The 17,399-nt window shown below is 37.9% G+C and overlaps 1 protein-coding gene across 1 annotated transcript, besides 1 other annotated feature; it reads right to left on the bottom strand.

Moving 5' to 3' along the window:
- Positions 1,266-16,298, bottom strand: AMBN (ameloblastin). Its single transcript, NM_016519.6, has 13 exons — positions 16,181-16,298; positions 15,159-15,227; positions 11,505-11,555; positions 10,151-10,198; positions 8,908-9,018; positions 6,900-7,136; positions 5,892-5,930; positions 5,718-5,756; positions 5,544-5,582; positions 5,235-5,294; positions 5,094-5,138; positions 4,633-4,677; positions 1,266-2,369 (listed from the first exon to the last, which is right to left on the bottom strand). Exons 1-13 carry the CDS (start codon positions 16,193-16,195, stop codon positions 1,824-1,826), a joined length of 1,344 nt encoding a protein of 447 aa, NP_057603.1. The 5' UTR covers positions 16,196-16,298; the 3' UTR covers positions 1,266-1,823.
- Positions 9,221-9,426: a silencer, noted in NCBI's record as "fragment chr4:71464845-71465050 (GRCh37/hg19 assembly coordinates)". NCBI's record gives its function as "represses an EF-1alpha promoter that drives an FKBP-Casp9 reporter gene in an ReSE screen in K562 erythroleukemia cells {active_cell/tissue: K562}" and the evidence as "EXISTENCE:reporter gene assay evidence [ECO:0000049][PMID:32094911]".

Raw genomic sequence — 17,399 nt, 5'->3', positions numbered from 1 at the left:
AAAGAAGAAAACTGCTATGATTCAGCAGTTTCATCTGTGAGCTTTATCTCATTTCATTCTCATAACAACTCTCTATGCTAGGTCGTAGCCCCATTATAGAAATGAAAACACAGGCACAGAGAGATTAAGTTTCACATCGAAAGTCACATGGATAATAAGATGTGATACCAAAGTTTGAACCCAGATCTGTTTATATGTATTGTACCATACTGCTTTTCAGGAAACTGTCTGCGATGCTAAGATAGATCTCAGTGGGTATCTGCTGGCTACTATGGAGGTCATTCTCCTACCCTCGCACCTTTGCCAGGGACACTAGGGGAGGCAAACTGAAATTTTTCTTCTGTATCTCTCTTTCAGCTGCAGTTGATGGAGTGAGGATGAGCAGAACCCTGCTTAAAGAGAGGGAGGCAATAGGTGGTGGCTACATGCTCCTGGTAAGCCTCCTGAAGTCCCCAGGTTGGGAGGCATCTCAGGGCTCTTTTTTGTGGGTTGCATCTACGGAATCTCCATCAATGGATGTAGAGAAGTTTGAGTTTCATGGAGTCGAAGACCTGGGTTGGGCCACTTAGGAGAAGGTGAAGAGAAGGGGGTAGGAGGCTACTTTGTAGGAGTGACCAGATCTGGGCTGGGAGCCCTTTAATTTAGGTGTATAGCTCTGCTCGATACAACCTAGCCCTGGTGACAAGCAAGGGTCATTTTCTGCATCCCCCTTTCCCACATTATATTTCACAGGAATGAGCTAATTTTCACATGACACCCACATGGCTCTTTTTCTGTTTCTTCCTCTTGGAGAGTGAGGGCTCTCGCTCTTGAAACCGTTTCTAGAAACTGTTCTGAGAAAACTTGTCTGATTCCTCCTAGACTCTCCGATGACCCTCAGGCTGGGTTAGGCACTTCTTCTCTGTGGCTCCAGGGGCACCCTGTGCTTGGCCTTTTCATAGCACTTTTCACATGTGCTGTGGGGTTGAGTGTATCTATTTCACAGTATTGTTGTGGGATAATATATGTAAAGTAATTGAGCTTGGTCTAGGGTTTTGTTATGGTGATTGTCTACTTGTCAGTCATGTCCATTGTAAGCTTTGAAGGAAGGGACTGTATCTTTGATACCTTGCACTGCACCCAGGACATGAATATTCAGTAAAATTCTGATGAAAGAATGAATGAATTGAATACAATGAATTAAAGAGAAGCAAAGGTAGAGGATGAGTATGCTTTTCTTGAACCATTTAAATCTATATAAATAATAAGCATACAATTCCTGATAATTTCAGTGAGAAAAATTCTTTATTTAAAATAGGCTAGATTTTTTATACTAGATTAAATAAAATACTCTATAAATGAGAATTTTAAATTAAATTATACCAAACCCAGTAATACCAGTCAGGAGTTTTCCACCAATCCCCATTTAATAAAGTTTAAATGAATTAGCTTAGAATTATGAGGATATTTGCCTTTGCTTAGAGAAAAAAGCAGTGCCATGTTTCCTGAATATAATAGTGTCATGCTGGTAAGAGAAATTCTATAATGCTTAAGACAGCTAAGAAAAAGTGATGATCAAATGCTGAGACCCTTAGAACCTTGCTCTGATGTTATTAATAGTGTTTCTAAATCACAGAGACAATTGACACATTTTATTTCAACAAGATATTGAAAGCAAGAAGGGGACCTACACTATTTCTAGCCACTTGCATTTATTAATATATGCTTAGCGCTTTTAATGCCTTTGCTGCAGAAGGGTAATAAGTGTTTTAGCAAAAAGGTACACTGTGGGGACAAAGCTGGGAAGCTTGTGCATACAGAAAGTAGCTAATATCTTAGAGCTGTCAGGGCTCTTGGAAATGCCATGCGTCATGCATCATCTCGGGCTCCTGGGCTTTGTTTCCTGGCATGGATGTTTGCAGAGAGTTTGGGGCCATCGTGGTATCCATGGTTGCTTCTTCCTGGAAATCCACGGATGTGGTCATGTCAGCATCGTAGGTCCTATAAACATCAGCTAATTCAGGGGTCATCAGTGGGTCAGCAGCTGCTGGGGTGACGCTGGGGAGTCCCTTCATCTTCCCTGAAGGGCTCCTTGGCAGGCCGGGAATGTCATCCTTAGGGAGAGCAAGGAGCCCTGCGTGGGGAGCAGGTTCTAGCTCTGTAAGGAAAGCTGGGTTTTCTAGATTGTCTGGGTTGGCCTCCGGCATAGGGGAGCCTTGTGCACCTCCTTCTTCGTTCTCAGGGCCTTTGGTGGCAGCCACTGGGGAGTCAAATTCCAGAGTGAAGTCACCGCCCATAGCTGGGTTGTGGGGCATTCCCTCAAAGCCGGGCCTCATGCCTCCAAATCCTGGAAACATGGCTCCATAGGCCATTGGGTCTTCTCTCCCGCCCTGGAAAAAAAAACATTCGTCAAAGATGCCATCATCACATGCTATTAACTATACCATGCAGCTATACCTGGTCACATTCACCAAGGATCTCTAAAAAACTGGTGGAGAATAGGAAGTTGGCTGATTGATAGCTTTGTGTAAGCTCATTTCTCACTAAACTGGCTTTGAAACATAATGAAGAGGATTCTGCACTTATCTGGGTGGATCTCGGCATGATTTCCGTAAAAGGGAGATAACAGGGCAGAAGCAAGACTTGAGGCAAAGGTGAGTTTGAATTTAATTTTAAGAAAACAAGCAGTTGAAATGAGTACTACCATCACAAAACAAATAAGAACTGAAATTCATAACTGCATTTGTTGAGCGAGAATCTTGTCAATGGCATTTTTCAGTGTCCCCCAAATGAAGTTCCATGTACTTTTTTTTTCTTTTAGGGGTCTCATTATACGGCCCAGGCTGCTGGTCTAGAACTCCTAGGCTCAAGTGATCTTCTTGCCTCAGCCTCCCTAGTAGCTGGGATCACAGGGGTGAGACACTGCACCCAGCTAAGACTTTAATTTTTTTAAAGCACAAAGTTTAAGAAAAAAAATGTGACTTCCCTGGAGTAACTAAAATATTTTCTTCTTGTGGACAAATAGAATACCAGCACTGACCATGTTTCTTTTTCTACCTTTGCTGCCAGAAATATGGGGTCCAAAATCTTAGGCTGTTTGTAGCAATTGAGCAGGCCTGTGTGACTTGCATATCTGTATTCTGATTTTCTTGAAATTATGACTCATTTTAAATCCTACTTTCAATTTTTTGTTATATTTATTGTGTGTTTTTCATAAGCTCTACAAAATCTTTTGGGAATGAGGCAGAATAGAAATAATTAATACTATGTGATGGCAATTAACACTTACTTGAATTTTGAACTTCCAGCCACTTGTATTGGTGCTATATAGATACAATACTCTTTCCTTCTCCTTTCTCCTGACTCTTCATTCTCTCTCAGCTTTCACATCATCTCCTCCAGGGATGATACTGTGAATCCCTGGACTGGGCTAACTGCCCTTCCTCTCTGACTCTTTCTCTCTAATAAAATTGTTATTACTTTTAGCCCATGATTTTGACATTAGGTATCTGCCCTTGTACCTATCTTTTCCATTCATTAGACTGTAAGTTCCTTGAAAACAAGACTTTTTTTTTTTTTTTTAAGGCAGGGTCTTGCTCTGTTGCCCAGGCTGGAGTGCAGTGGCGTGATCTCAGCTCGTTGAAACCTCTGCCTCCCAGTTTCGAGTGATTCTCCTGCCTCAGCCTCCTGAGTAGCTGCGACTACAGGCTCGCGCCACTAAACCTGGCTGATTTTTGTATTTTTAGTGGAGACGGGGTTTTACCATGTTGGCCAGGCTGGTCTCAAACTCCTGATCTCGGGTGATCCATCCGCTTCAGCCTCCCAAAGTGCTGGGATTATAGGCATGAGCCACTGCGCCCAGCCAAAAACGAAAATCTTACCTTGTCTTGTTTACAGTATTTTCCTATGTGTGTGGCACATGGAAGGCACACAAAAATACTGAGATGTAATTTTTCTTTCACAGATAATATGTGTGTGTGTTTGTTAACTTGACAGGATCTGTAGTTGACAGTGATTTGTTAATTCAATATAGCTTTTGTTTTGTCTTGCCTTGTGCTCTAACAGATGTAACAGGCAAAAATTTTCTTAGGGAAAAAGTCAAGTTGTATGACTTTATTGATCTCAAATCTTAAACTTGCATGGATAATGATAACATAATAAGAGTATATGCTCATTGACAATGCACATTGACATTTATAATAATCACATTTTAAACTTGGTTTTCTTTTGCTTTTTGATCTTTCAATTTTGAGATCTGAATTACTTGTAATGCTGTTGAATTTGATGTTTTGAGGGGTTAAATGGTCCCAGAAAGAACAAGAACTCTGTATGAACCACGTGTATCCTTTTGGTTTGAAGTGTTTATAGTTCAATGACGGCCTTTCAAGGGGAGTTTTCTCCTCTGTTCATCTACAAGCAATGGGGCAAAACTCTATGCTCAAGAATAGTCATCACCCAGAAATGAAAGATTACATAGGAAACATGATGAAATCTTTGGATATTGCTTCAGAATTAAGCTTAGTTTTTGGAGTGGAAAAATCTGAGTCCCATGCTCATTTGGCTACATTCATGGCAGACGTCTCTTGCAGCCAGTCATAAGTGACTGTTCTTCCCTGGCCACTATTTTAAGAAGAGTTAGAAGACATTACTCACTGCCACTTCTTCTGAACTCATGATGCCAAGTCTGGCAGGGGCATTCTGTTCAAAAAGAAATATTGCGTCAAATTACGAACCAGCTACCTTCTTATCTACTCAAGACAAAGTTAAAAGTTATTTAGTTTTCACTTAAACCTTAATATTAATGCTGTGTACAGAGGCAAAGTGGAGAGGTGAGTCATTATGGAATAAATGTAGTCAACTCGGATAATTCAGATCTAAAATTTGTTTTTTCTTTAATACCCTTGTGTGCGTGTGTGTGCGTGTGCGTGTGTGTGTGTGTGTGTCTGGCCAAGATTATCCAAATAGGAAGTTTGCCTCCTTAATATTTCAGTACTAATGTAGGTGTTCAGAGAATGTTTATTTGGAATCTCTTGTGTGAGACCTAGATTTTTGAATTTTAGCTCTTAAGATAAAATTTAATTAAAAACAATACTTTTTATAGAATATGGACTTACCAATTGATTTGCTCCAAAAGGCACGTACAACATTCCTGGATAAAGCTAAATAAAATACAATCATTATCACAAAATGCATTTTCCAATGGAAAAACTTTTAAGTAAATTGCAAACAGAGATGTGGTATTAAAAAAAACTTACTGGAGATTGTTTATTTTGTGGCATTGGTCCGTGAGAAATCAAACGGGCTATTTGGAAAATCTTTAAATGGTAGAAAACAGAATAAGTAATTCTCACAGGCACATCCCCATAACAGTAATTTTTGAGGTATATGAAACACATTTTCAGATGGATTAGTATAGAAAATAAGTATTTAATATTTAAGAGAACAAAGGAACCCATTATACTTCATATTCATGGATAAATGGGACAATGAAAAAATTCACTCTTATTTTTTGAAATATAGAGACAGTTTTTGCAAGACAGTGTCTCATTGAGATCTGTACTTACTGTTGAACCTTGTGGATCAGCAAAATCCAATCCTGGGAGCTATATTACAGATAAATATTAAAATTATCAGTCAAAAAAGGAACAAAATAGATAAATGCAAATAAAAGATAGACAAAGTGAACAAATAAAAATAAAAATAAAAAATAGAAGTGTCTCACTGAGATCTGTACTTACTGATGGACCTTGTGGATCAGGAAAATCCATTCCTGGGAGCTATATTGTAGATAAATATTAAAATTATCAGTAAAAAATGAACAAAGTAGTTAAATACAAATAAAAATAAAAAAGTGAACAAATAAAAATTAAAAAATAAAATACAGAAAGTGTCTCATTGAGATCTGTACTTACTGATGGACCTTGTGGATCAGCAAAATCTACTCCTGGGAGCTATATCACAGATAAATATTAAAATTATCAGTCAAAAAATAAACAAAATAGACAAAGTGACATTAAAAATAAAAAAATAGACAAAGTGAACTGATCACATCCTTATCTTGTTTACAATTACAATAAAACAATTAAAATGAGTTTCATTATTTTACTTTCTTTTAGTGTTTTGGGAGGTATGACCCAAGAGTTTGCAATGGTCTTTTACTAACATTACTCAAATGTACCTGCAGGGAGATGAGGCACATCTATCATGGCTTTGCTATCTCTTGCAGATTAGAAAGTAATGAATTTTGGAACTGGAACATACCTGGTTGGTTTGAACCCTGGCTCTGCCACTTAATTTTTGTGTACTCCTGGGCAAATTTTGTAACTTCTCAAAATCTGTCTTCCTTTCTTTAAAAAGGCTGATAATATATATTTTTATAGGATTGTAGGCAGGGTGATATGGGGGAATGATAAATGCCCACAACATACTGGTTACTTGGTACCTTCATTTTTTTTTTAATCCATTACACTTTTCTCTACATTATTACAAGATACTTTTTGCATAGTGGTCACCTCTTTGTCAGAGAGATAATAATGCAAAATCCTACTTGTTATGCTGAGGGATCAATCACTTTTTTCAGTTTTTCCAATACCAAAAAAGACCAGTGATAGGAAACCTGGACTTCTCTGGGGTTTTATTCTATTTCCTATGGGAGTTTTCATCTTTCGCAACTAAGAAACCCAGTTTTATAGGCACAGTATCTTTTAGAATCCATGCCCTGTCTCTGATGGCAAAAGATAGGAATGGATATTTACGTTTTACTCAAAAAATAAATCTCAGATGTGGAAGACTGATTAAGAATATATTTATATCACGTATTATGCCTGAAGGCTACGATTATTTAAAAGTGCCCTGCAAATTCGTTTTCTTCTATTAGGTTAGCTGGTGATTCTGATCTGACTTCAAGAGAAAGGAAGTACCTCAGGCTTTGGTGGCTTATCTGATGGTGCCACCTGCTGCTGAACCAGAGGCAGTTCTCCTTCCTGCAAGGGCAGATGTCCCAGGTGAATTGGAGGCTGAAGTGCTTCTTTCAGTGCTGTGGCCTGGTTGGTGGTTGCAGCAGCAGACTGGAGAAAAGGTTTCAGTCCTGGCTGTTGAGGCTTCAAGGATGGCTGTGATGGGAGAGGTGGGGGATGCACAGGCAAAGAATATTCATACTGCAGAGAAATTTGAAAAGAGTGTTAGGAAGGGATGGCTCATTAAACAACGGTGCCTAGAATTTCTAAACAAAGGGGCTTGGGGCGCTTTCTATCTGGAAGGGAGGCTAGGAGACTTGTCTTGAAGTTGAGTTTACATAGCAAGCACCAGTTAGTGTTAATGTTGTTTGGGGAGGTCTTGTGTGTGCCTCCCCTACCTCCTTTGGGACCACCATTGCTCGTAAAGGTGAAGCTACATGAACCTCCTGGTAGGATGAGTCATGTCCTTCTCTAAGTTCCCATAGCTGTCTGTATGTATCTGTATCTTTATTTTACCACTTTCTCACTGGATGATAATTATTTGTTATAAATCTTTGTCCCCCAGTCAACGGAGAGAGAATGATATGTTTTGTTTTTCTTTATAGCCCGTGTACATAACATAGCTCCTAACAAGTGCCTGGCCCATGGTGGGTGCCTAATATATTTTTCGAGTTAATGAAAGGATAAAGGGTAATTAATTAAAATGCCAATCAAATTCTTGCATCATGGAGTCCACTTTGGAAACAATTAAGTTAAGAAACAGTCACCATTAACATAATTTATTGTTCTACTGAATGTGACCTCGTGGTAATGCTCCTGCTGTGGAAGACCGCCTGGAACTAAAATTCCCTGTTAAATCTTGGTTCTGAGTCCATATATTAAACGAAAAAATTCCCCGTTAAAATCACCATGTTTTGTTACTTCTTGTAGAAATTACTTTTGGTGAATGGCTCCCTATTGTTTGTAGATTGATTGTAAACTCCTCAGACCAGCAAGGAAGTCTCGCAACAATTTGGGGCTCTGCTTTGCCTCTCCAGCCATCACCCCTCTCTGAGCTCACGCAGTATTCATTACTCACATGTCACAATTCAGCACTTTGAAATATGTTGTCTTGTCCTATCTGAATCAGATAAGATGAAATTTCACAATCCTTGGAGCCATTCTTAAATGTCTTCGCTTTTACTACCAAACCACAATTTGGTTTATGTATTTATTAGGCACCTAATCAATAATGGTTAACAGATTGATATATTTATTGACTTCTGTAGGGTTCATGATGTTTTTTTTTTTTAAATTTCTTAATTTTTTTTGAGACAGAGTCTCACTCTATTGCCCAGGCTGGAGTGCAGTGGCACAATCTCGGCTCACTGCAGCCTCTGCCTCCCAGGTTCAAGCTATTGTCCTGCCTCAGCCTCCTGAGAGTAGCTGAGATTACAGGTGCCTGCCACCATGCCTGGCTAATTTTTGTATTTTTAGTAGAGACGGGGTTTCACCATGTTGGCCAGGCTGGTCTTGAACTCCTGACCTCAAGTGATCCACCCACCTTGGCCTCCCAAAATGCTGGGATTACAGGCGTCAGCCATCGCACCTGGCTATGGTATTTTAACCAGGATTATTGTCATCATTTGAAATCAGCCTTTGAGGAATTATTTAGGAAATCTTGATTCAAATGAAAATTGTCCAGGATGTAGCCTGCTTTGATTTTCGAGGATTGTTTACTGATATCTTTAATATAGGTCTCATATTTTGGAGGCTGTATCTTCCTATTTTAAATAAATATGCAAATAGTTTTAAATTTAAAAATATTTCTTAAGCGCTAAAAGCAGTTATAGGCTTCGATTTATTTGGCACGAGAATAATTTTTTGTTAATGCTAGGACTTGGCTGTTTCTAATATATCATAACTTAAAGAAGGCAAGTAAGAAGAGGTTTTAAAGCCTGAGGTTTCAAACATATTGATGCTATTCACTCACCTGTTGAGTTTCATGTTCTCTTGGCCTCATCCATGGAAGAGAGGAATGTGGTGGGAGGAGACCGTGCATCCACAAAGAATTAAATGATTTTCCAAAGCCGTATCTAGAATACTAAAGACATGGATAAAAAAAGACATGCTTATATTTAAATGTTAAATATAACATTGGTTATATTTGGTTTTCCTTTTCCTTTTTCTTTTTTTTTTTGAGATGGAATCTTGCTCTGTCGCCAGGCTGGAGTGCAGTGGCGCAATCTCAGCTCACTGCATCCTCCACCTCCCGGGTTCAAGCGATTCTCATGCCTCAGCCTCCTGAGTAGCTGGGTCTACAGGCACGCACCACCATGCCCAGCTAATTTCTGTATTTTTAGTAGAGACGGGGTTTCACCGTGTTGGCCAGGATGGTCTTGATCTCTTGACCTCATGATCCGCCCACCTTGGCCTCCCAAAATGTTGGAATTACAGGCGTGAGCCACTGCTCCTGGCCTGGTTTTCATTTTCTAAAAAATCAACACATAGCATAAATATAGCAAAAGCAAAAGTGATGTTGGTTAATTTAAAATGGATAGGTATGGCTGGACGTGGTGGCTCACGCCTCTAATCCCAGCACTTTGGGAGGCCGAGGTGGGTGGATCACCTGAGGTCAGGCATTCGAGATCAGCCTAGCAACATGGCAAAACCCCGTCTCTACTAAAAAATACAAAAATTAGCCTGGCGTGGTGGCAGATGCCTGTAATCCCAGCTACTTGGGAGGCTGAGACAGGAGAATTGCTTGAACCCAGGAGATGGAGGTTGCAGTGAGCCGAGATCATGCCATTGCACTTCAGCCTGGGCAACAGAGCGACACTCTGTCTAAATAAATAAATAAATAAATAAAAATAAAATAAGTAAATCAAATGGGTAGGTGAACTCTTCCTTTCAATGAACTTAAATTTCGTTTTGAGCTAGTCTGCAATATTTGCATAAATTGTTTGAGATTTAGCTTTTTAAGCACTTGTGTTTTGTGCCACATAATAAAATTAATAATGCAGGAAAAGATTCTTTTCTTAACTCAATAAAATTCAATATTGTTTTTGTTTTTCCCTGTCACTGTATCTTATTTTGTTTTAGGCTCTCATTTACTTCTTGGTTCTTCCAATCTTTAGTATATTGTCTATTCATAAATAAATTTGATGAATTATAATGCTGCTGCTAATATTAACACTACCACCACCATGAATACTTGCAATAAGAAATATGATTACCTGAGAAAGTGTGTTTAATCTCTGCAGACTTCCCAACTGTCTCATTGTCTATCAAGAAAAAAAAGTGGGTTACTGTTTATCGCATATGCTGTGTTTGACACAACTGATTTCTCATGATATTTGACATTATCAACACAAAGTTTGGTGTGAATCAATTTAATAAAATGAAAGTAGACACAAATCATCACTGAAAGGTGGAAATATTAAATTTGGTTCTGCCATTGTTATTATTATTGCTATTAAAATAATGCAGTTGCTTTTATCATTAATTAAAGGAGAAAAAGTATTATTTAAGTGGAGGTTACATTGAAACATGGGAAAATAGCTCATTCCATTGAAATATAAGTGTAATTGTGAGGACTTTGCTTCATTGACTCTTTCTCCCCATTTAATTTACTTTGCCCTTTACAAGTTCAGCCAGAAGAGGAATTTGAAACAAACAAACAAGACAAACAAATAAAACTTCTACCTCTTTCCCATAAAATAAATCTTTCAAAATATTAAAAATAAAAACTATTGAAAGAAATGTTAAGTATCTGGATAGATTATCGAGAATGCTACCATTTCAACAGAATGCCAATTTAACTTTTTTCACGGGAAGAGATTTAGAATGCTTTGGATTGAGTTTAAGCTAAAAAGTGAGAAAAAAACCCTCAGCGAAATTAGCTTCCATGTGAAATAAGCGTCTAGCTCAAATAGGTATTGACTGCCCCCAGCTTACCATGACACATGGAAATTTCACAAGACCTTGTGAAAAATTTATAATCTTATAAATATCTTTCTATATATAACTGTCAATATTTTTCATTGACATGACCAAAATTTCTGTTTTGCTGGAGTTTTCTAAACAGAATATATATTACATGAGAACTGCAATAAGACAAATACACTGTACAACTTATGCAGGAAGTATCATAGTACAATGTTAATGTTATTTACCAGACTTATAAAAAATTAAATTTTGTACAGGTACAAAATTTTTCATGAGAACTTTATCATGTAAGATAGTATAAGGAGCAGGATTAAAAATAAACTATTTGTGAGTATGGAGCAATGTATTTTAATTAAGGTAGTAATTTTATTAATGTGCATATTATATATAAGGCATTAAATACTAATATTGCTTTGGTTTGCATAGAAACAATGTTCTAAAACTTAAAACACCTGAGAGTTTAAAACTGCAGTAGAATTATAAGACAAAGCTCTAGTAAATGTCATAACTTTTCTAGCACTCCTCAGGATAACAGCCACAAACTTCTGGCTAGGAAAACTGAGAAGCACACGATTATATTTCTCCTGTACCACAAATATACCAATGTAAAGTTAATATGTTAAAAATTCTGACAATACATACCTCAAGGCTCAAACTAGCCATACCCGGTGTTCCAGATTGCTGAGGAAAGAACTGAATGAAAATAAGAATAATTTTGAGTCTTATTGGTACAAAACTTCCTTCAATGCCCATTGGGCGTAGGATATTGCTCCAGTACATACGGGCTACCTGAGAGGCCACCATTTTGGTTTATTATGCAAATGACTTGAGTGCTTGGGCAGAATGAAGAAGAGCATAAGTTATTTGGGAGAATCAACATAGTATTTGATAATTTTGCTCCCACCTGCATCATCTATCCTTTGTCTGCATCTTAATGCTTCATTGCTTTAAAAGCAAAATATGATTTAAAGTTACACACAAGGAGAAATAGAATAAAGCAACAAAATAGAAAACTACTAGTACTTTATTTTCTTTAAAAATTACCACAGAAAAAAGTAAAGGGGACAAACCCAAGCTGAATTTTCATGTGCTTTCGACAAATCTATATGATTTTGGTTTACAAGACATGGCATGGGATCATGACATTCAGAAAAATCATATGAAAAATCTAACTGGATTCCCATTCAAAGGGCTTCAGCAAATTCCCTATCATTTTTAGTGAAAGATTATTTTATGTGTAAACCTACTATACTTTGGGATCATATCAAAGGTTTTTTTCCCTTAAATAAAAAGCATTCTAGCACAAAATACTATTATACTTAATGTGTTCACTTAAAAGTTGTTCAAAAATATACCTATCTATACAATTAGCTTTTTAAAATGTAAGATATTTTCCTTTTTTTTTTTTTTTTGAGACTAAGTTTCACTGTGTCACCCAGGCTGGAGTGCAGTACCGTGATCTCGGCTCACTGCAACCTCTGCCTGCTGGGTTCAAGTGATTCTCCTCCCAAGTAGCTGGGATTACAGGTGTGCACCACCAAGCCCGGCTAATTTTTGTATTTTTGGTAGAGACAGAGTTTCACCATGTTGGCCAGGCTGGTCTTGAACTCCTGAGCTCAAGTGATCCGCCCACCTTAGCCTCCCAAAGTGCTGGGATTACAGATGTGAGCCACTGCATCTGGCTTCCTTTTTTAAAAAATAGAGATGGGGGTCTCACTATGTTGCCCAGGCTTGTCTTAAACTCCTGAGCTCAAGTAATCCTCCTGCCTTGGCCTCCCAAAGTGCCAGGATGATAGGCATGAGCCACCATGCCTAGCCTTTTCCTTTTGTTTTTTGTTTTTTTGTTAAATATATTTTTCTTTTGAAACCAATCCTTATTACTTTACACAAATACCGGTAGAAAACATGGCGAATGGAAGAGTAGGAATTAGAGTAAATTGGATTTTGAGAGTCTCTGGTTCTTTGGATATTCTCACTTTCTAAGACCAAGGGGTTGTAATGCCGTCTTTCCTTCAGTTATACCACAAGGATTTAGGGAATGTTTACCAAATATATCAGTATTATTTTTCCTTTATGAGTAAGAAGTTAAAGAATTACACCCCCTACTTTTTCCACCCACCACCTTTTTCATGTAAGTAAAATCCCACCTTCTGGGTCATAGTGAGAATTTCTTTAAATAATTCAGTTTTGGACAAGAATAGAGGGAAAGGGCCAGGCATGGTGGCTCAAGACTAATCCCGGAACTTTGGGAGGCTGAGGTGGGCAAATCATGAGGTCAGGAATTTGAGATCAGCCTGGCCAACATGGCGAAACCGCGTCTCTACAAAAATACAAAAATTAGCTGGGCGTGGTGACACGTGCCTGTAATCCCAGCTACTTGGGAGGCTGAGGCAGGAGAATCGCTTGAACCCAGAAGGAGGAGGTGGCAGTGAGCTGAGATCTCAGCATTGCACTCCAGCCCGGGCAACAGAGCCAGACTGTAAAAAAAAAAAAAAAAAAAAGAATAGAGGGAAAGGCATTACAAATGTGTAGCAAATACTCTGGGTAGGAAAGAGGTTAGCTGTGTAGACAGGAAGAGTGATTGTGCATGTATGTGTGTATGTGGTGGTTAGCTTGTTGAGAATTTGGGGGAATCGTGAGAGCAGGACCTTCTTCCCCACTATTTGCCAGTGCATAAATAACACATCCTGGATTGAGCCACAGAACAAAGTGTACTTTGCTTTCCATCTGCTCTAAGTCATGACTTAAAGAATATTTACACGAATGTATACAGATAGGGGATACATTTCCCATGCAGAATTAATAGGAGAAGAACATCTGATTTGACAGGCAATGAGTTGGCAATAATAAGCAATTGTTCTGTTCCTCAGAGTGGACCCAATTGATTCAGGTGTGGATCATTATAGGTTCAAAGAATGCCAATGTGTTAGACTGATAGTGAATGACTGAGGCTCATCCCAACGTCAGTATCATATAAAGGTAAGCTAGGGTGGCACCCTCAATTTTTCTTTCATTTAAAATTCATCTTGCGTGATGGAACAGAGACTATTTTTATTTGTGGAATTAAGGTTTTCATCATTATAATCAGTTTTCAACCTCTTTCTCCATTTCCATTCTCTTTCTCTAAAACACTTTAAGAAGACCAAGTAGCTAACCTTTTCTTTCAAGGAATTAAAATACTCTAAAGTTCATTTGAGGCCAACTGTGAGCTACTGGAGACAAGAGATCATGTCTTATTTACTTTCATTTTTCCATGTCTTATTTACTGGATGCATGGCAGCTGCTCAACATATTTGCTAAATGCATATAGCAGCCAAATAAAGTTTTTGTGATAACAGAATTGCATGCTGTTGGCTGGAGTAGTTCAGTGTTCAAAAGATTGTGTTTGTATGAGATCATTTCAATATATACTAGAATGGATCAGGTGTGGGACTGTAATACACAATTAGCCCCATCACTATGATATGTTTTGATTTATGAAACTTCAGCTCTCAGTCACACAATTTCATGTTTACAAGGTAAATTTGCTAGTTAATTACTAGCTTTAAATGGAATTATCTAGCTGAGTTTTGTAACCATAGAAATTTAGAGATAGTTCTTTTTGAAATGAAGAAAATGTATTTTTTTCAAAGAAATTTCCTCTTTCCATTTCAACTTTATAATGATAGCAATAAGTTGATAATAAAATTTCGCCATGCATTGTGGAGACTATCTAAGCTTTTAACTTTGAATGAGTGGAATAAGATCTAGAAATTGTCTTGGGACTATTTTAAATAACTTTTTAGTAGAAATATCATACTTCACTTACTGCTTTTTTTTTTTTTTTTTAAATGGAGTCTCACTCCGTCACCCAGGCTGGAGTGTAGTGGCACAATCTTGGCTTACTGCAACCTCCGCCTCCCAGGTTCAAGCAATTCTCCTGCCTCAGCCTCCCAAGTAGCTGGGATTACAGGTGCCCACCACCACGCCTGGCTAATTTTTGTATTTTTAGTAGAGACAGGGTTTAGCCATGTTGGCTAGGCTGGTCTCAAGCTCCTCACCTCAGGTCATCCTCCTGCCTCAACCTCCCAAAGTGCTGGGATTACAGGCGTGAGCCACCGCACCCGGCTATCACTTACCGCTTTTGGATTGCAAGACTGACATCTGAGCAACTATGGCTTTTGACTCAATAGGACTAAACCACTGGATTAAATCAAGTGAGTCTATGCGTGGACTCTCAGTCCATATCCCTTCAGTGTTGTTTGGAGTTCGACAATCAATAACCTTTTCTGGGACACACTCTAAAGACTGACTTACCGGCACTGCAAAACTCATTTCCAGGAGGCATAGGATCAGTATCAGGTCCTTCATTTTGAAAAGTGGAATCTAAAACATAATTAAGTTGGAGAATTAAATCAGATGAATTTTTATTCAGAATGGTTAAAAGACAATTTTTGAAAATGAGCCTGAGTCTCTGCTCTTACAAAAACCACCGGGATAAAGGTTAGAAGAACAAAAACAAAAACTAAATGTTACTAAACAACCGATTTGTATGTAGTAGTTTCTGAAATAAATTAACAAGCAATTAAAAAATATCTAAGCACGTTTTAAATGGATCTACAGCCTAAATAAGTATGTAGGAACAACCTCCATCGATATTCTTTGTGATATATTTCATTTCATAAAGTGAATTATGAGTTTAAAAATCCTTCCCACTAAGTAAAATATTGGTCTATAAGGTATTATTCACAGAAGTTTATACTTTGCTTACCCTTTGGGACACATTTTGAAATGCATGTGAAATGTAATGCAACTAAGTCATTTTATAACAAACCTTTATTTGCAGGAATAGAGGGTACATCATTGCATGTTTAGGTAATCTACGTAACCATGACAAAATTTTTCTTTTCAAATGAGAGTAAATTGGCTATCTTAATTTTCTTTGATGTTAGTGGAAAATATGTCTCAAATTTAGCTTTCCTCTTCCTAAAATGAATTATCTTTTAAAATTTATTCTATAAATTCAAAAAGCTCTTTATTCTTACATGAATAGAGATCTGAATAGCCTAGAAATTTACTCATCTTCTAATATTAAAAAGAATTAGGCACTATAATCAAAAACATTAAAAAAAACACAATCTATAAATAAAAGTCTTTTTTTTTTTCTTAGTTGAATGGGTGTTAGGCATGTCATCTCTGGGACATGCTAATGGATTACAACAAGCAATAATTCAGCTACTGGTGACAAATGAAGATAAATCCTCTTTATAAAAGCTGTCAGGAGATAGGAAAAAAAGAATTTACAGGAAACACATGGAAATCATAAAATCCCATTTTACCTTAGATGCTGACATGCACTGTGCTCTCAGGGCCTGATGATGCCAACCAAGATAGTTCTAAGAAAAGAAGATTAAAATTTTTTTCAGGACTGTGCGTGGGACTTGCTCTGTACTTCTCATTCAGGGAAGATTAGAAACCTTTATTTAAAGTGCCAATCCACCAATCAAAGTGAAGCAAAATGGCGAGGGGTGGCGGGGGGGAGTTGGGGCGGGAATCTCTGCTCCTGCAATTAGTCCACACCCTTTTATTGCGTGCAGGGACATTGGCCCAGTAGGGTCTCATTATTTTTAATTGTACTGCAGCCCCTGTACTTATTCAGAGAACTTGATAGCAGGGAAGGCAGTAAAGGAATAATGGACATAGGCTCTGAAGACAATTATTTTGGTGAGCTGGGGAAAATATATGTAAAATAGGTGCAAAACAAAACCTGTTTTGTGCAGGTTTTATCTGCAGATAAAGCTAGTGACCCAATGCTAGCATTCTTCAGGTTTTCACCCTCCTGTTTGTTGTAGTAAAAGAGACTACTGTCCTTCCCCCCAGCACACACAGAGTTTAAAAGAAAACACTAAAATGTTAGATGGAAAATTAATGTGTGTGATTTCTTCCTTGAATTTCCTAGATATTTTCATATCTGGAGATAATTGATTAGAGATAGCCAAGCTTTTGTAAGAAACTACAGTTGGACCCTTTGCAAGAATCAGGTTTACTTCAGGTAAACGTTTGGTGCATTTTAAAAAAAATCTGTGGGGACGGGGACGTAAATCAGAACATTCTCTATGAACCAAATCAATGGGCACAAGTGTCAGTTCACTCTTCAGATAGACACATTCCCAGGCATTAGTATCAAGCCAGGTTAATAAGACATATTTCGATCACTTAAAAGGTTAACGTCAACACAGATTGGTTTTTCTCCGTGAACAGATAATATCTTGGATGTGGATTGAATATTAGCTGCTTTTGTTACTTCTCTGCCCATCCTTGTCTTTCCAAAGTTGTGATTTCAGATATGGTAGGGATAAGCATTTAAGATTAGTTCTGAAGAAGGGATGAGTCAGTACACTCTTTAGGGAAGTAGGGATCTTGTCAATTACAGGGAACATTGAGGAAGCTGGTATTTTGAGAGAAAGCTGTATCCATACCCAAATGTAGGCCTAACAGCTTCAAATAATGTTATCTTAGAAGCTGCTCCTGAAAACCTCTGTGTTCCACTGATACCAG

The sequence above is a fragment of the Homo sapiens genome, chromosome 4 (assembly GCF_000001405.40).
Source record: "Homo sapiens chromosome 4, GRCh38.p14 Primary Assembly".
Lineage (NCBI taxonomy): Eukaryota > Metazoa > Chordata > Mammalia > Primates > Hominidae > Homo > Homo sapiens.
Note: the sequence above shows the minus strand (reverse complement) of the source record. Positions and strands in the feature narration are given on the sequence as shown.

Bases quoted from the DNA above. Each gene is read 5' to 3' on its own strand.
- AMBN (NM_016519.6), bottom strand. The intron at 9,019-10,150 runs GTAATCATATTT...CCATGTCTTTAG, and splicing joins GATTAAACACACTTTCTCAG to TATTCTAGATACGGCTTTGG. The intron at 5,583-5,717 runs GTAAGTACAGAT...TCTGTAATATAG, and splicing joins CTGATCCACAAGGTCCATCA to CTCCCAGGATTGGATTTTGC.